At 38.3% G+C, this 19,557-nt stretch overlaps 1 protein-coding gene across 3 annotated transcripts in view, besides 2 other annotated features; it reads left to right on the top strand.

Annotated features, from left to right (window-relative positions):
* Nucleotides 1-19,557, top strand: part of MRPS27 (mitochondrial ribosomal protein S27) — a 100,838-nt gene that overhangs the window by 72,222 nt on the left and 9,059 nt on the right. For 2 of the 3 annotated variants that reach the window (NM_001286751.2, NM_015084.3), the window contains exons 5-7: nucleotides 9,891-10,005; nucleotides 13,822-13,900; nucleotides 15,461-15,576. In NM_001286751.2, coding sequence (NP_001273680.1) covers nucleotides 9,891-10,005; nucleotides 13,822-13,900; nucleotides 15,461-15,576 — 310 coding nt within the window. Of the gene's footprint in view, nucleotides 1-6,330; nucleotides 6,373-9,890; nucleotides 10,006-13,821; nucleotides 13,901-15,460; nucleotides 15,577-19,557 lie in introns of all 3 variants that reach the window. The other variant, NM_001286748.2, reaches the window with a different exon arrangement.
* Nucleotides 2,723-3,017: a silencer, noted in NCBI's record as "tiled region #3458; HepG2 Repressive DNase matched - State 12:CtcfO, and K562 Repressive DNase unmatched - State 5:Enh". NCBI's record gives its function as "represses a minimal TATA promoter and a strong SV40 promoter by Sharpr-MPRA in HepG2 and K562 cells {active_cell/tissue: HepG2 | K562}" and the evidence as "EXISTENCE:reporter gene assay evidence [ECO:0000049][PMID:27701403]".
* Nucleotides 13,463-13,757: an enhancer, noted in NCBI's record as "tiled region #4397; K562 Activating DNase matched - State 5:Enh". NCBI's record gives its function as "activates a minimal TATA promoter and a strong SV40 promoter by Sharpr-MPRA in K562 cells {active_cell/tissue: K562}" and the evidence as "EXISTENCE:reporter gene assay evidence [ECO:0000049][PMID:27701403]".

Genomic DNA, 19,557 nt, shown 5'->3' with positions numbered 1-19,557 from the left:
TTGTTTGGTGAGTGGTAAAGTAAACCTTTCTAAAAACCAATTGGACTCACAAATAATAAGTCTCAATTTTTAAATATCTTTCCTTTTTAAACTACAAATAGTCATTATGTTCCAAAAACTGTCAAGTAATTTCTTAATATCTCTATGCCCACCCTATCCTACTCCCCTTTTTTTAGAGTTCAACCATTTCTGCTATAGGAATTGCCAGATAACAGAGGTTTGATAAAGTAACAGTATATAAAACAATAATTTATATTATGTAGGAAAATTACTTTGGATGACTTTCTTAGATATAAGATGAATTGCACTGAAATATTTGAGTAGAAAATAAAATGCTTTACTAATGGAGTGATCAATTGCTGAAAATTTTATTTTCTATAAAACTTGATCTTCAGTTATAATGTACTTTAGGGACCTTAAATTTAACTTTAGCTGATTTTATCATTTCACCTTGAAATTTTAGATGCCAATTTGCAGGGCCCACCATTCCCATAATAATAATCTCTGTTGCCTGCCCAAAGTGGGTACCATATGGTGGGGGAATGGAGGCTAGTGGAATAAAGTAAAATCAGCTGTGGACTGAATGGTTGCTCGTTTATCTTTGAGTCTTTATTCACTTGTTTGTATCACTGCCATTTTTCTGGTTTAATAGAAACTTGTATATGACTGATGTTTTAATGAGTAGATATAGGCTTATTGTCTTTTACAGTCATTAAACTTAAGTGCTGGAAGGAGTTCCGGGGGTCTGGTCTAGTCCAGAGTTCAAGTGTATTTTGTTTGGCCCGTAAGCTGTGTTTTTATAAACAGTATAATGAAATCACTTTGCTTGATTGTAATACAAGCAGCTTTGTACCTATTGTCTTACATGATTCATGCATTTATATTAACTGACTGGCCCCTGTAGACAGTTGAGTTTGTGATCCAGATAACCGTACCTCTTCATTTTACAGTTGCAGGAACTGAAACCCTGAAGGATCAAGTGACTTTCCAAAGTTAAACAGCTAGTTCAGGGCAATTCCAGAACTGTTTTACACTGAGTTTATTTTTCTGTTGATTCTGCTCCTAAATTTAGAAGAGATGTTTATTTTTCGCTGTTAGAGACCTTTGTGAAACCACAAAAATGTTTTTTAAAGATGTCCTACAAATAAGTTGAGAGGCAATGGTGGAATAATGAAAGTGAGGGGTCTAATTTAGGTCCTATTGCTAACTATCTTGGGGAAATCATTTTATCTCACTATATACATCAAGATTCCTCCTCTATAAAGTAAAGGAATTAGATTACATAATTTTACGTCACCTAGAACAGGGCTAGTAAATTCTCAATAAATAGTCTAGTGTACAATAGATATTGAAAGTCCCTACCAGCACTAAATTAAAGATTCTCTAATTCAGTATTAACTTTTTGTCTCTCCCTTATCCCCAGTTTACTTGGCCTAGGTTGCTTTCAAAGCCTCTTCCAGGGTTGAAAGGAGTCTGTTTTTTTATTGAATTCCTGTTAGGGAAATTCTTTGAACCCATGTACTCTGGCTTCTGTCCTCAACTTAACGGCTTCACTCTCCTAGCAGCTTGTCTGTTCCCTCAACTTGCATTAAAGAATCCATGTATCATCCTTGATGTATTGTGAGAAGGAACAGTAGGGGGAATAAGTGAGGACTAGGTGGCTTTCCACAATGACCACATACTACTCCACTTCCTCTGCCATCTTTCATCTCCTCCTGCCTTGTACAAAAAAGGCAGCATTTCTTCTTGGCTTCAACTTTATTTTAGCCAGGATACTTCACAACCAGAAGTGAATTACTGTTTCAAATATAAATAATCCTCATGAATTTCAGCATGCATGATGGGTATTTATGCAGTCTTAGCAGGCCGAGTCACTGTTGCCAAATTATCAGGCACCTACTTGAGTCCTTGTTCACTTGTTTGTAGACGCAAAATGATAGATAACTTGTCCCCTGCCTTTTAAGAGCTTAAAAGCTTAATAGAGGAGTCAGTAGAGTTACAGAAATAGAAACTAGCTATGAATTGGATTGTATCACTGGAAGTATGTCCAACCTTCCTTTTGCTACAAACAAAGAATGCCTAGGGATTCAACTTTTTCATGTGTTAGAGAATCAGAATGTTTAAAATACTGAGATGCTTTTCTTCTTTAATAAAAATCTAATTCTTAAGAAATCCTGATTAGTACTGAGCTTCTCTTCCCTCAGAAATACCCCTAAAGAAATCCGTAATCTCACATACAAACACATATAAATCTGCTCAACACTGGCTTAATTCTTTTCTGCTTTTACCCTGGTGTGCTTCATCTCCTGGGCCAGGCTCTTTGCCTGCTCATTTCTTTTGTGGCAGACTTAATCCTGACAACTTCACTAAGCCTAGCATACTCCAGAAATTCTGGTTTTTATTTCTATTCTATTCCTTTGTTTTCCTCCTTTTTTTTCTTTCTCACCTTTCTTTTTCCCAGAATTATTCAAAACCAGTGTTTAATTAATATATGTGATTTTCCTATCTTAATCATTGTATTATTTGTGATTTTGCAGAAATTTTATCTGCAGTTCCTAGCCAAAGCTTTAGGAGACATCAGGAAATGTTTGCATGTATTTAAAACTGGCTCATTTATTGCTCATAAATTTCCTACTCAAAAACCAAAATATTTCGCTTATCTCTGTCCAAACCAAGCCAGTTTCCATAACTTTATATGCTTTTATAAACAGGACTGGTTCCGGGATCCAGTTTTTCTCAACATCCTGCTGTTCCTAGGTAAAGGCCCTCTGTAGCCTAACCTTGGCCTTCAGTAACTGCCTCTCAGTCATGAAGCTGACCTGTGAGCCAGTGTGTGTATAGCTTTAGAGAGGCTGGAGAAGTCTTACCAGCTGCTTCTGGGTGCAGTTTCACTGATAGGTCAGGTGGTGGCCACAAAGCCATTTTCTGCTTTTAGGACCATCTCCAGATGGGCACCTCAGTGATGACTGTAAATACTTGTTTCTTCTCCCATTCTCCCCACAAGTAATCCTCCCTGGTTATCTACACATATTGCTCTTTGGAGGCTGATAAAATAGTGTTCCAGGCTTTAGACAAAGAACACAACTGACTTCATTCTGACTGCCTCCCTTATGTACCATGAAAGTAAGAGAGAGAGAGAGAGAGAGAGCAGCAGAGCTTACAGTCTGTCTATAGGTATTTTTTCTGTATCAGAAAGGGAGAGATGTCATCTTTAAGATAGGAGTTAGGGCTAGGCATGATGAGAGGCCAAGGCAGGAAGATCACTTGAGGCCAGGAGTTTGAGATCAGCCTGGTCAACATAGCAACACTTCCGTCTCTACTTAAAAAAACAAAAAAAAATTGGAATTAAAGGAAATTAGTAGATCAGTGGGTAAAGAATATAGATCACCATGCCTGAGCAAAAGGTAGCTACTCAGTAAATACTTAAATGAAGCAGAAATATGTCTTCTAGACTGAGAGTTAGATCTGGCAAAACAGCAGGCAGATCAGAGAGCAGGGAGAGAGAATAATGTGGTGACATGCATCCTACTTTTGATTGCTTTCTGTTTCATGAGAGGATGTGGATAATAAGAATAACTCTCCTGGAGTAGTTTCTAGTATGTCATATTTATACCAGTGTGTTTCCAGGTGAAATGCTAAGGGCCTCTTTTTTAAGCCCTTGGTCTGACAAATTCAGACTTTGATATCTAACAAGTCCCTCTGTTATCTATCTTCATTTCAAAAAATGTGTTGTTATGCTGCATTTATTTAGCACTCCACATCTGCAAAATTCTATGCCCCTGTTATTCTCTACCAAAAATCTACTTACTCATCACCCTTTTTAGATTAGCAGGCAGGGATTCCAGAAGGTCTAATGACTATATGTAGGGCTCAAAAAAAAAACTACTCACAAGCTGAGTTTTAATTTTTTCAAATTCTTCTGGGAAATTGACAGAATATACATTATAAACCAACCAATAGATGATATTGTGGTGGTTTTATTATCTTATTTGCTTTTCCTCTTACAAAATTAATAACTCTAGATCTGGAAAGGGACCCAAGGAGGTTACCTATATAAAATTTGCTTAAATTGACCAGCAAACCCTGGAGAGGTTGACTACAAAGGGGGCTTATCTTGATTGTGGTCATGATTATGCAACTGGATGCATTTGTCAAAATTCATAGAACTGTAAACTGAACGTATGAATTTTTTTGTTTGTACATTGTATCTCTGTAAACTTGACTTTAATTTTTTAAAAATTAGAACTTTTAAAGAAAGACATTTTTATCTGTATTGTGAAGGTAGATAGTGAATTCGTTGGAAATATTCAAGCCCAATCTGGTTGACTTTTGTTGGCAGGGTGGGAGAGGTGTTTTGGAGGGGACTCTAGCACCTGGTGCTTTTATTTTGTGCAGGCTAAGTGTGTGTATGTGGAAAGTTAAAATTACCTTAAATTCTTTGAGTAAGAATCTGAGATCCCAAGCAGGAAATTTTAACTTATAATACTGATGTTTTTATTATCGATTTCTGTATTAAACCCTGCCCTCTTTTTTTAAGTACTTGACAAAAATATAATAGTCATTAGAAAATTATCTCATCAAAATTTGATTTTATTTGTGGTAGTTGAGGGCAACTAATAATTGTTAGTTTTGAAATTAACAATTCTGAAAGCAGAATTTCCAGCAGGATGAAAAAGAAAATAATGAGAAAGTGAGTAGCAGTGATTGAATCAGATTCTGATTTAAATAGTCACATGACACTCTTGGTCTTTGGTTCTAGTTCAAGGAAGCGCTCATTCCTTTTGATAGTTGCTAACTTTCCTTCATTGGTAAGATCCTCAGTCCACACTACAGGCTTTGAAGCCAGCCATATTTTCTTCTTGGCATTCTTTCTTTCCTCCCTTTACCCTGACCCCCTCTCCCATCTCTGTCTACCCAGCTCCGTGGCTGAGGTTCCCATCTGTAAAGCCTGTTGCCACAGGATACAGAATTCACTGGGGCGGAGGGAAAGCTGCATGTGTGTGTTTAGGGCTGGTGGCTCTCGGAATCGGATAAACATTGTGGAAAGCTTGCTCATTCATGTGGAAGAACCAGTGTGTTACAGCTAAATGGTGGAGCTGTGAGCTGCTGGGCTCTAGGCTCTGGCATCTGTGCATTGGGCCTGCCCAGCCTGGAGCATTTTTATTTGTGAGACCGAAAATGCTGATGAGCATTGCCACTTTAGCCGTTCAACAATAACAAAACCTTTATTTCAACCCCGTGGAAGAAAGGCTATATTTTCCTTTTTTTTCCCCCCTATTTTTGGTGTGTATGTGTGCTATGAGTGCCGTGAGTGTGTGTGTGTGTGTGTGTGTGTGTGTGTGTGTGTGTGTGTAGACGGGGTCTCGCTGTGTTGCCTAGACTGGTCTCAAACTCCTGGCCTCAAGACATCCTCCTACTTTACCCACCAAAAGTGCTGGGATTACAGGCATGAGCTACTGTGCCTAGGCCACTTTTTTTTTTTAATTAAATGACGAAATTGGTCAAACAAGAAATCCCATGCGACTTTTACACACAATAGAGTACCTCCTATATAATCACAGTCAGTCTGTGGTGTTTTTTTTTTTTTTTTCACTCTTGATCTCTTTTATATAACCTCTCTTCCCTTCTAAGAAATCTCTGTGATATCCAAGACTTTCACTCCCATGTCATTTTGGCAGCCTGTGATTCTGCTCTCCTTCTTTCCTGGTAACATCAGTCTTGAATGAGCAGCAGTGCAGGCAGATGCCCTTAAGAGTTCTGAGTATGGCCTGAGTTTTGAGAATAGGATGCTTCTCAGTTCCTGCTATTTTATTGGCCGTGGTTTGGCTTCCTAGGCAAGCTCTGTCTTCACCTGAAAATCCTACTCAACACTGGGGACAGAGATCTCTTTAGCCATGGGATACCAACTTTTAGAACTAGAGCTAGAACTTGAGAGTACACTTTGTCACTCTTTCTTATGCTCCTCCAAGAAATACACATTTCCTCAGAATTGTAAGTGTAATCACATTTTATAAGCTGAAATCTCAGAGTACCTTTAGCCTTCATGAGCACAACCTTGTTGGGGATATTTGGGTTGTATTTGTTTCTCTTTTCTACACTCACATGTTTGCCTATCTTGACAGCCTGTTGGCCTAGGCAATAATAAAGCTTCTGTCGAGGTGAGCAAACAGCTGATGGCATAGGCGCACAGAGGGGACTCCTACAGTGGCTGGCTGTAATCTGCCAGGCTGGTGGTCAGAGCAGGCGAGAACAAAAGCCAGTCTGTTTGCAGGCAAATTGGAAAATCAATGTGTTAGTTGTATTCTTTTCTCTTTGCCTTTCTTCTGACAGAAAGGGAGAATGCTCATCCAGCAATCCACAGAATTATTCCAGGCAAGTGCCCATTCCAGAGACTCACTCACCTGACATATTACTACTGGAAGTTGAAAAGTCCCCACATTTATTTGTCTGAACTGCTTAAAAAGTCACCAACAGGAATTCTTCTCAAACTTGCCATCCAAAATTGAACCCCGCTGGCCCAGTGTTTTGACTTGTTTATATTCCAGATAGCCACTCACGTAAGTTTATCTTTTTAATGCTGATGGGGGCCAAGAAAGGAGTTCATTTGCTTCCTGGCTGGGAAATTCAGGAATTGCATTTTGGGCAGCATATTTTATAGTATGTGTGTAAGTATTTCACTGCTTTTCCTCAGTTTATTTTTTGTGAGAGTTCATTGAAAATGTCCAAGGCTGGGCACAGTGGCTCATGCCTATAATCCCAGCTCTTTAGGAAGCCGAGGTGGGAGGATCACTTGAGGCCAGGAGTTTGAGACCAGCCTGAACAACATAGCAAGACCCTGTCTCTACAGAAATAAAGAAGGAGGCAAAGGCAGGAGGATCACTTGAGTCCAAGAGTTCAAGGCTGCAGTGAGCTGTGATCTTGCAGTTGCACTCCAGCCTGGATGACAGAATGAGACTTTGTCTCTCAAAATGTATATACAATAAAAAAGAAAATGCCCTAGACATAATTGGGTCTAAGATTGTTAGGGCTTAGAGAGCAGAGCTCATACCAAGTAGCCTTGTCCCAGGATAGGAGAGGGAGTAGACTTATTAAAGACTTCTCTGAGTGTCTTGACAAATATCTCAAAAGGCTGCTGTGCAGAGATGATTGTATTCGATGTGTGAAGTCTTGAGTAACTTTCCCTTTAGGCTTCTAAGAGAGAAAGTCTGTGAAGGAAGGGTTTTTGAGAAGAAAAGACTTTCTTGCTCTTCCTTGTGTTGAAGTTAGCCTTAGAAGCTTAGCAAATGGCTTTAAATATGTTTTAATTTGAGCTTTGAAGGTCTGAAACTAGGCTCTCATTATCAGTCTTTGTTATTTTTTCAAAGCCTAAAAGTGGTCTGCTGATCATGAATAAGAGAAAGGTGTTTGGTTGGATATGGTCATGGTATTCTTATTGTAAAGTTCATCATCAAAAAAAAGTTACAACTTTAGTGGCCATTGGAAACATCCTGAGCCAGAACCTTAGATTTAAAATGAGTATTAGGTTTAAAATAATCTTGAGTGAGGGTAGTAATTGGCATTTGATATATTTTTTTCCCAAAGTCATTACCAAAAAATAATTATATTTCGTTTTGTTTCTTTTTAAAGGAAAAATTGACTAAACCCAACAACTGCTACTACCAAAAACCCTTCAGCCTCTAGCAATCCCTTTTGTCTTTAGCACTTATCATGCTCCACCTCGTATTATTATTAAATTATGTGTGCATCGTTTTTGTAATGAGACTCTAAATGCCCTGAAAAGGAAATTTACATATCTTCATATATACCATAGACATTAACAGAATGATCGGGACATAACAGCATTTAATACCAGTGTTGATTAAAGCTCTTTTTTTAATTAGCTGAAAAACCTATGGGCCAAGAATTGTGTCAGTACAGGAATCAGTATTGAGCAAGTCAGTCTCTGTCTCTGCTGACACAGGAACTTACAGGCTGATGAGGAAGCATCACCATCGTTGAAGCAGTACACCTGATACTTCACTTGACTTTTTTCTTTAAAAAATAAAACTCATTTTTAATTGGTCATTTCATGTTAAATCTCAGATTGTTCAGAGAAACAAGAATCAAGTAGCTAAACTATTGATTTGAAAATGTTGCCTGGGCAACACAGCGAGATCCTGTTTCTACAAAAAATAAGCTGAGCATAGTGGCATGCACCTATACTCCCAGCTACTCGAGAGGCTTAGGAGGAAGGATTGCTTGAGCCTAGGAGTTAGTTTGAGGTTATAGTGAGCTAGGATTGCACCACTGCACTCCATCCTGGGTGACAGTGAGACCCTGTCTCAAAAAATAAAAATAAAAAAATAAAAACAAATATGAGGGAAAACATGGAATACTAAAGGTATATTTTGTTTCATTTCTGTGCAGAAGATCTTATAAGATTGAGTATCTAGGTCCCCTATACCATGCCTTTCTCTGGCCACGTCACTCTTATTCTAAACCTAATTTGACATATTTCTCTATTTCTGATTTTAAAGGGGCTAATTTGTAGAGAAAAATAGAGTGAGAGAGACATTTTCTAGCAAAACCTAAAATATTGAAGAGAATCAGGCTGCCTAGAAGACCCTAAATCCATAAAACATCTTTGGATCTTATTTTTGCCAAATCTCTCACCAGAGCACTAATAGATATCCTAAATTAAATACTATTTCTCACTTCCTCTCCTTTTCTTAACCATTACTTTGGCAGAGAACCTGTTCAGAGGAAACTATCCCAATAGCAGATGGCAAGAAATAGCAGGAGGCAGACTGAATAATCAGCCTCTAAAAGCCACTAGTATTCATCTGTACCCTCGACTCTCAAATATAGCATGGAATCCTTTAGCACTAGGTTTTTGTCTCACCTTTTTCTTTTTAAGAAAAAGAGTTTGATTTTTGTGGAGCCCAGCGATTGGCCTGCTTCCTGAATGATTCAGGAAAACATAGGGATTTCAGCTAACATGATATAGTATAGCATATGAGGGTCCATCCTAATCAAAGTAGATAAATAAAAAGAGGGACTACAGAGCCCTTTCCACCCCCATCTCGCAGCTCAATCTCCAGTCAGTCTTTTGTCATGAACCCCAGGAACCGGGAGTAGCAGCTTCCATCCCAGGTGTTAGCAATGTGCGTGAACTAAGGAAAAAGCAGCATTTGGAATTCCTTTCCAAGCACTGTTCCTTTGTAGGTATACTATTACTGTATATAACTCATCCTGGGCTGCTTCAGACTTTTAAGACCCTGTGGGGAGCTATAGGAAGTAAGGGATAAACTGATGAGCTACAATGGAACTGTGAAGAAGGCAGTGTGGGATTGTGGATCTTGGAGGACATGAATGTTAAATTTTACTCAACTTTTATTTCTTTTCCTCTGTTTTCCTTTGACTCAGTGAAGAGTGTCCCAGTCTCTCCTAAGAGCCACAGGAAGTATCACTGTTACTCAAAGCTGATTCTCCTCTACAGAGTTGCTGTGCTATCCTATTTTTCATTTTCTTCATTTGTTTTAAACTTCCAAAGTTTCAGCTTAAGCTTCACGTCTCTTCTAATGAAATATCTGTTTACATAATGCCATGATTAGTAGAGTATTTTTCCCAAATCATTTTTCATAAATCTATTAAAATGAACTGTTGAAGTAAGGGGTATAAGGAATACAATTTTTGTAAAATTTTTTGTTATTTATTAGTTTGCCTTCTCTTTACCATTTCAGACTTTGTGGTTAATAAGTTTCATTCTCAAGTTTTTATCAACTGTTGACTTTTATGAATTTCTGTCACATTGCACTCTGTAAGTATCTAAGAGAAGGACCTATCGATGGAAGATGTGTTTTAACATATAAGAGTTAACACCAGTTTTCTCTCTTCTTGTGCTTATTTAGGTTTCGACACAGCCCCAACTGCTGGTACCTGAGAAACTGGACTATCCACACCTGGATTAGGCAGTGTCTAAAATATGATGCACAAGACAAAGCCCTATATACCCTTGTAAATAAGGTGAGTTGTTCCGTGGATCTGCAGCCTGTTTTCCTGAGTTTAGGTGATATGGTGTTTGTACCTATTGTAGTACAGCAAAGAATAACACCAGAAATAACTTTAAAAAATTATTTGGCCTCAAATATTCTTATTAACAGAATGGAGCTGGGTATAAGTTCATTAATAAATTAAAAAAAAAAATCCTGTAGCTGCTACTTTTCCAAATGTAGTGACTCAGAAAAGGACAGGTATAAGCAAAAGGAAGAACTCTGCAGTGGTGGTCATTTCATTCTCGGTTGCTAAGCCTTAGATTTCTTGCCTGTTTCCTTCTGGTGAAGTATAGGGGAAAAACATGACCATGTTGCTCCTGTGTCTTTGGAGTTCCCTGACTCCTCCCATCAAGCCTGAGAGCCCTCTAGGATTAGGATCTTTCTGACTGTTACACCACCCAAGAGTTGAGTCTTACTTACATTCCACTGTATGCAGTAAATACAAAATGAACAGAGGTTTAGAATGTTATTATTGTGAGTCTGAAGCTAAACACTAGTTTGAACTATAAAGATATTTTAACAGTCTTTTTATGAAAAGGTATTACGTCTATAATGTCACTGGACCCTGAAAGTTAGCACTGAAAAGGAATACTGATTTTGTTTTTGAGTCCCCTTCTGTGCAGAATGTTTTATTTCCAGTTGCACCAGTTCAACTTAATATATATTATATACAGTTTGTTTGTGAGACATTGGATTGGTTATTGATAGTGGATACAAAAATGAGCAATATTCTGTTCTTGCCCTCAGGAAGTTTACAGTTTAATAAGGCAGATAAGCAGGATTACTTATAAATCTAATATTAGGCAAATGTAGGTGCCACACAAGAATATTTGTAAAGGCCAGGCACCGTGGCACATGCCTGTAATCCTAGCATTTTGGGATGCCAAGACAGGAGAATCACATGAGCCCAGGAGTTCGAGACCTGTAGTCCCAGCTACTCTAGAGGCTCAAGTAGGAGGATCACCTGAGCCTAGGAGGTGGAGACTGCAATGAGCTGTGATGATGCCACTGCACTACAGCCTAGGCAACAGAATGAGACCTGGTCTCAAAAAAAAAAAAAAGGAAAAAAGAAAAGAAAAACAGTAAAAACAACTTGGAGAATTAAGATGAGGGAATCTGATTGGAAGGAAATAATTAAAAGAGACATGAGGTACCATTTAAGATGGTCACCAAAAGATGCATGCTTGCACGTGGAGATGGGCTGGCAGAAACAGTATTACCAGAGGTATATCTGGGTGAAAACAAAGACTCAGTCTGAACAGTAATACATTGCCTTTTTCCTGGGGTATAAGGTATGTTAAGGGAGGAACCAGGTAAGGAAGCGAGTAAAAGATTGAGCTAGGTCCCTGGATAAGTCCAATCAAGATGACAGCCTTGAATCTCAAGAGGAGGAAATGGAAGGCCCAGAGGAAGGAATGGATTAAATCTTGTTTTCTTCAGTTCAGAGTGTAATGTCACAGATTACACTCAAAGATTCCTATGATAGCAAAACTAGGAGGGTCTAGAATTTTTGCTGCTTCTTGAGTCTTTTAGTGGAAAGAACATCAAACTAGAAATCAGAAGATCCAGGCTGTAGCCCCACAGGCTCCCCTGGTTGCTGGTAACTTTAGGCAAATAACTGTATTCTTCTAGCTCTTAGTTTTTTCAACTCTAAGTCAAGTGGGTTGTAGTAAATCAGTGATTTCCAACTCTGGCTGCCCATTAGGGTCACCCAAGAAGCTTTTTAAAAATTGTAGATGTTTGCCTCTACTCCTGAAATTCTAGTTTAATTGATCTGTCTAGGGCCCAGGCATTGGAATTTAAAAAAATTTTTTAATAAGTTTAAATTTTTCTGTCAGTTTCGGGTTCACAGTATAGGGGAGAAAACATAATTTAGTTTCTTTCCCTTTTAGGTTCTTAGTTGAGACACTCTGCTGAAAACAAAAGTCAGATTAACAAAAGAAAAACAAGCAGAAGTTTATTAACACATGCTGTACTCATCACACAGGAAAGGCCTCAGTTCAAAAGCATTTCTATCTCAAGGCAGTGGCTTATGGCCTTACTGAATAGTATTTCAACCAAGGGCCATAAATCCTATACAGTGACAAGACGAAGGAAAAGTTCCAGTCTTTAAAAGGTGGGAAAATGTGGGAAGATAGTAAAATCTGTTCTCAGATTCCTCTGGTGCCTGCTGATGCCTTCTCTGGGCTCAGAAGCAAGTGCTGTTCTAGGAAGGAAGGATTTATGTGCTGCCATCAGGCAATTGGAGGCTATGGCAGAGTCTTCCCCTGCATTTTCAGTATCTTTAACTTAACATCCTCAATTATTTTGGGGAGAAATATTTTTGTTTCCTTCAACAGCAAAACTGAGTGGAAAGTACATAGATTTTCTATGTACTCCCTGCCCCAACACATGCATAGCCTTCCTCATAATCAACATCCTGCCCCAGTGTGGTACATTTATTACAATTGATGAACTTACGTTGACAAACCGTTGTCACCCAAAGGTCCTAGTTTACATTAGGGTTCACTCTTGATGTTGTACGTCCTATGGGTTTGGACAAATGTATAATGACATGTATCCACCATTGTAGTATCATCCCTCATCCCTGCCTATTCATCCCTCATTGGGTTTGCTTGTTTGTTTGTTTGTTTTTTAAAGCTCTCAGTTGATTCTCATTTGCAGCCTGGGTTGAGAATCACTGACCAGTTGATTTCTAAAATCCCTTTCAGCTTTAATGATTTGTCATCCTAAAATATTTTGGTTTTTAGCCTGCCCTAGGGATTAATACTGATTTGGATGACTGCTTTGAGAAATATAGACACTGGCCATGAGCTACAACCTTTAAAACAGTGGTTTTTAGACATTTTTCCATTTCGGCACACCTGAGGCTACTATATATAACACCTGGAAACAGTGAGTCAGCTCAGTGGTGATTCAGTTGGGGGTTAGGACTGTATCAAAATCTCTCAAGGGGATATGGATATAGTTTGGAAAAATTCCTCAGGTGTTTCTACTGGTTCCAAGAGGGAAGAATGGAGCCCTGTGGGGAATGGTGGTTAACATTACTGAAGAATTTGAAACAAATAAAAATGCAGCCACAATCAGGATCATTGGTAGTAAAATGAGTATGCATGAAAATCACAAGAAGCTCACTAAAAATTCAGGGTTTTGTGCCCAATTCCCACAGATTCTGGTTCTATAGGTCTGAGACGTAGGAATCTATATTGTTAAAAACACTCTGAGAAAGTCGACATCCTGCAGGTGCTAAAGGGTCCACATTTTAAGAAATCTGAATTCTCAAGTATTCAGTTGTATGACACAACATTCTAGAAACTTAGTAGCAAATATTTCTTGGCATATTTCTTGGGACCTTAAAAGCCAGGCTAAGAACCAGAAAATGCTGTGTAATGTCTGCTTTCTCATGAGAGTCTGTTTTTGTATTGTTATTCATACTTTATAAGAAGAGTCACTGAACCAGTTAGGGGGGTTGTGTGGGTTTCTTTTTTTCTTTTTTCTTTTATGTTTTTTTTAAGCTATGATGAGGTGTTAGAATTGGAGCCTTAGTTTTTACATTATCAGTTGTCTTATATCAGACTCACAACTTTCTCACCCTGACCAACAGTTCCTGTTACCAAACCTCATGAGTCATGGCTTCTGTTTCACTGTCACAGATGCTGTAAAATGATAGTCAAATATTTTAAAGCTAATGGTGGCAAGTTTTATTCTGAATAATACATAGGCATATATTACAGACTAAATTAGATAATTTTCTCTTTTTTTCCTGTTATGTTCATTTTCATTATAGGTTCAATATGGAATTTTTCCAGATAACTTTACATTCAATTTACTGATGGATTCTTTCATAAAGAAAGAAAATTACAAAGGTAAGAAACTAACCCCAGATTCAGTGTTTATAGGGCTTCCAGCTCCCAAAGGGAGGTGTACAAATGTAGGAACTTCCCCTTTTTTATTTCTTAATAACATCTCTTCATTACTCGTTTAGTCAGAAAAGTTTTGATGATTATCTTTTATGCAAAATTTTTAAAAACATTATTTTTATTTTAAGATAGAAAATATCAAAGTACATAAATGATTATGGAGGAAAAGTAAGTTAATTATACAGGCCAATCTAATTTCACTTCCCAAACTGACTGAAATGCAGAATATAAATAAAGGATAAAGTAAATTTATTTTTCAAGTATAATTTTGGATTCAGTAATGAACAGTTGGCAGAAATGAGATTTTTTTTTTCAACTGAATTTTTAGCCTATGCTCTTTTAAAATATTACTGGCTTGTTTGTTTGTGTAAAAGAAAATCCCTTCCAGGTTCTTATTTTTCTACTGACTTATTAGATGACTACCTGGTCTGCCTATCTCAGTTTCCCCATTTGCAAAAAGAACATAGAAATCCATGCGTGTGGCCTCATTCAGAACCATGACATGTGCAAAACCAGCTGGGTAGGAACAGCTGCAAATCAGTGCTATTTTATAGTTATGAATATATGTAAAAATTGGTTAAAAAAATAATTCAGTAAGTAAAAAACATTTGTTGTGCTTGTGATATGAACAGGCACTATATTTTAAGCCATTGTTAATATTCTCTGCTTTACCACCAAGTAACTACAGAAAGGAAATTGTTTGACTTGATTTTCTTGGCCTCCATCTATGTTGTAGAATATCAAGGGAAAATAAAAATTGCTTAAAGCCTGCTCTCCAGGCTTTAATGACCAGCATTAATGTGCAAACAAATATTTTATGTTACGTGTTATACTCAGGGGCTTATAATTTATGAACGAGCATTTCCCATTCCCTTCCAACAAGTATTTTAAACTGAGCCTTATTGTCCTTTTTATAGTCATTATTTTGCTGTCTTTGAAATAACACCTGAGATTTAGGGTTTCCTTTAGCATTTTGTCCTCTTCTGCCTTAACAGTGAGAAGGTACCAGAGCAGAGAATAGGGCAGTCAGACCAGCCTGTCTGCTCTGCCTGTCAGGGTGACCTTGAGAATATATGTGTCTCCTTTATGCCTTAGCTGTTCTAGCTGGTAGACATGATGCCTTAAATTTGCATCACAGTTTGAGCCATTTTCTGGTTGAACTGTCCAAAATTCTCTTGAAGTAGGTGAAGCAAATAGTATTTTATCATTATGACGATGATACTGGGAGCCAAGAGAAATGAGTGGTTTATTTAATGTCCTTCAGGACGTTGGTGCAGTAGCACCTGATTTAGTTCGTTCTGGTATGTAAAATAGAAGCTAAAGGCTGAGGAAAAACCTTGTTTGTGGAAGAACTAGGGCCAGAGCCTAAGCCCGCATATTTTACTTCTTAATTCTGCATTTTTTTAAACCATGCCCCACGTTTTAAGAGTGTTTATAGTTAAATAGAGATTTAGTAATATTACCTACAACTAATTTCCTCTCTTTTTTACTTTCATCTTCTGCTAGATGCTTTATCTGTGGTTTTTGAGGTCATGATGCAAGAAGCCTTTGAAGTGCCTTCCACCCAACTTCTCTCCCTCTATGTTTTATTTCATTGCCTGGCAAAGAAGACAGACTTCAGTGTAAGTGATCTTCCCTAAAGCAGTATTAAGAACTTTAGAAAAGGCAAGCAGGGGCTTGCTCTCAAAAGCTGGAAAAAGGTGTCTGCAGCTCTGTGGCCAGGCACAACCAGGAATGTGTGTTTATTGTATACATTTTGGTTACTGGTTTCTAACAAATGGAATTGGAGGTTCTTCCACTTGAGAGAATCTCAAAAGAAAGTCCTCGTGCATATTTTGAAACTTGAGCTAGGCTGAGTGCACCTCAGACATTCAGAAATGGGTCATTGGTAGTCACTGAGAGCTGGACATGGCATGTCAAAGAGGCAGTGAGGCAGCTAACGTTGACCATTACCTGGGATATTAAATACTAATTATTTCATTTGTATCAGTATTTTCCTAAGGTTTCTCTAGGGCAGTTCCGTTTTGGAAAGTCTAGAATATCAAGTTTTGGTTTCAGATCTTAGGTTCGCATGTTTAATCATTGCTTATTGTTGTCCTAAGAATAGCAATAGCAATAACTGATATTTTAAGTAGCACTTACTTTACACCAGGCTGTGTTCTTGTTTTAAATGTATTAATGCATTTAATTCTCACAACAACCCTAGGCAGATAAGGAGACTGGGGCCTAGAGATGTTACAGAGTAACCCCCCAGCTAGTAGGTAACGAAGCCACCTGGTAAAGCCAGTTAGTCTGCCTCTGCCATCTGCCCTTAACCTCAATTGTAAACATCAAAAATCCCAGTTTGGGTAGGAACTGAAGAGGTCATTTAGTCCAGACCACATTCTAAAGAGTAGATGGCATGTTATGCCTTTCTAAGATGAGTGTCATAGTCTTATGATATACCCCACATTCATTATTAATTCATTAAATATACTGTATTGAACACATACAAATTCCATACATTGGCAAGTGCTAGTTATGTACTGGTGAGCAAACATTTTCTGCTTACAATTTAGGAAGAACACAGAGTTTAAACAAAACAATCACAGAGATATAAAACTATGACTATCATGAACACTGCAAAGGAGAAATCTAAGAAAAGACTATATTATAGGGAGTTTTCTCTGTATTTTAAACTTAAATTGGTTAGGAAGGGCTTCCTTAAGGAAATATTTCTTAGGTTACTATTGAAGGATGACTGGTAATTAACTGGCTAAGGAGGGGAAGAACAGTCCAAAAAGAGGAAATTACATGTCCAAATACCCTGTGGCAGAAAACTTAGTGAGCAGAAATGGGCTGGAAGAAGATAGTCAGTGTAGTTACAACAGAAAATGGTAGGGAGGACGTGGGGTGAGAGGGTTGGAGAATGTAGGCCATACTAAGCCATTTTGTGTTCGTTCTAAAAACAGTGAGAAGCCCTTGAAAAGTTAGAAGCAGAGGGCATATAATAATCAAATCTGTGTTTTGATAAGGTCCTTCTGGCTGTACTGTGGATAAGCTATCAGAGCAGGGCAAGGATGGCTATGGTCAGACCATCCGAGAGACTACCATGAATCTCAGCAAGGGATAATGGTAGCATAGAGACCAGGATATGATGCAGTTAGAGAGTAGCCAATGGGCATATTTGGAAGGTAAATAACAAGATGAGGCAGGGAAGCAGGGGTCACATATTCTCTCCTCAGTTTCTGACTCATATGTCTGGATGCAAGGTGTTCCATGTGTTGTTTCCAAAAGGGAACTTTGGGAAAAGACTGGATGTTATGAGAAAAATCATTAATGTGACTCTGAACATGTTGCATTTTGAAATTGAGACAGTCACGAGATTTCACCAAGGAACTGGGGGCTTAATGGAAAGATCTGGACTGGAGATACAATTGTGGAGACTTATACTTCCATGTGTAAATGTTTGCAAATGAGCTAGAAAGCAAAAAGAAGGGAAATCAGGAATGTGTTGGACCACAGAATCCACAGGAAGAGATGGTCTGCTATGTAGAATGCTTCCAAAGGGGTAGGGTAAGATGAGGAATAAAAAAAGTCAATTAAATGCATTAGTGGCACGGGAGGCACTAAATCGTAACCTTTGTTTCCATATGAGTAATGGAGCAGGAAACCAAATTGGAATGGATTGTAGAATGATTAGAGGTATAGACAACTCTTTTAAGATGCCTAGCTATGAAGTGGAGAATAAAGCGGGGAAGTTGGGAGAATGAGGATTTGCTTTGTATTAATGGAAGAGGCAAAGCATAAAATGGAAAAACTTTGAAGGCATTGATGAAACCACACCTGAATTAGTCCATTATAGTGTCTACAATAGAAATTAAAGGCTTGGGCCAGGAGCAGTGGCTCATGCCTGTAATCTTAGTACTTTGAGAGGCCAAGGCAAGAGGATTGCTTAAGGCCAGGAGTTTGAGACCAGGCTAGGCAACATAGCAAGACCTCATCTCTACAAAAATTGAAAATAAAAAAAATATTAACCAGGCATGGTGGCACATGCCTATAGTCCTAGCTACTCAGGAGGCTGAGTTGGGAGGATCCCTTGATCCCATAAGTTTGAGGTTACAGTGAGCTGTGATCACACCACTGCATTCCAGCCTGGGCAATAGGGCAAGACCCTGTCTCCAAAGAGAAAAAAAGAAAAGAAAAGAAACTAAAGGCTTGGAAGATATCTGTTAATTTATGTTGACACATGAATAGCTTCATATAAGCAGCAGTAGTTCCAGCAGCCCCAGACAATGATCAGAAAATTTCTAAGACAGTCATTGGTTTGTTTTCATTCATCTTTTTTGAAGTCCTTTAGAAGTATAACCATCCCAGTCACTGTCACCACCCCTGCTCGACTCCTAACACATCAAAGGTATCTAGTGCTTAGATATTTTAGTGTTCATTTGGCTTTAACCCCTACTACAGCCTGTTACTGTAGCTCATGTTTTTCCCTACAGGGGGAAAAATGTTTGTAAGGCTCCTTATTTATTATTTGTCGGCCCTACTTTTCATGCAGTTTTAGGTGGGGAAAATCAAACTTCTTAGTTTTGAAAGTAAAATGACCTGGTTTTTAATTACCAGCTCTTTTATTTACCTGTGCTGCAGAAGTGCTTGGGGGGGGGCGTTGTTTTTCTTCTGAGGTCTTTGCTTTTCTCAAAGACTGGGGAGCAGCCTCAAGAAATGACACTTGTATTGCACAAAGCCTACTTACAGTAAAGAGGTTTGGGTGCCTATGAACATCTGGGGTGCCTCACTTGCCCGTGGTTGTAACTGCAGCCTGCAGACATTATTCATTCTCTGCTTCCTCCCTAATCTCTTGGTGCAGAGACCAGTGCAGGGCAACCTGAGCTTAGTGTTCTATGTTTTGAAGCCAGAGTTAGGGCTCCAGCTCTGTCCACTGTGTACTCATGTGGCACCAAGAAGATCACAGATCCCACTGGGGAGTTGCCAAGGCTCTCCCCTGGCCGCATTGCCAGGAAGTCCTCCAGTCATCGTTGTTACTAGTCTGCAGCAGGTGTAGCAATGCTTGTGTTTTTGCCCTTTGTTTCCCCCATGTCTCTAAAGACTTCATTTTCATTAAAGCGTAATTTTGCACCCTGGGCTGAAAGAAGCGATCACTGTTTCTGACTGCCTAATTTGTTTTTGAGAAGCACAAATCTATCTAAAAGCAATTTAATAGTGGTATTTATTCTAACACTCTGAAGGAGTCTTATCATTGCTAAATTCTTTAAAATTCAAAAGCTTGTTCCATCAGGCCACAGCAGTATGAGTGACTGTGGGGCTGACAGCATGTTGAATCTTGATTGTCTCGAGTGTCGGTTTAAAGTGTACTCTTTATTTGTGTTTTGTTTTGCTTTTCTGATTGTAAAAGAAACGCTTATTCATTGCCAAATTTTTGGAAAATAATAAGATATACAGGGAATAAAACCAAAATTACTCATAATTTCACTGCCCAAAAATCCATTAACATATAGGGTATTTCTTTCCTATATTTTTCTTTGACGTAAGTACCTTTTAATCCCAAAATTAGGATTATAATGTATATATAGCTTTGTTCTTCTTTGTTTACTTAATGCTAT

This window comes from Homo sapiens, chromosome 5, assembly GCF_000001405.40.
Source record: "Homo sapiens chromosome 5, GRCh38.p14 Primary Assembly".
NCBI lineage: Eukaryota > Metazoa > Chordata > Mammalia > Primates > Hominidae > Homo > Homo sapiens.
The sequence above is the reverse complement of the archived record's forward strand: the minus strand, read 5'-3'. Positions and strand labels throughout refer to the sequence as shown.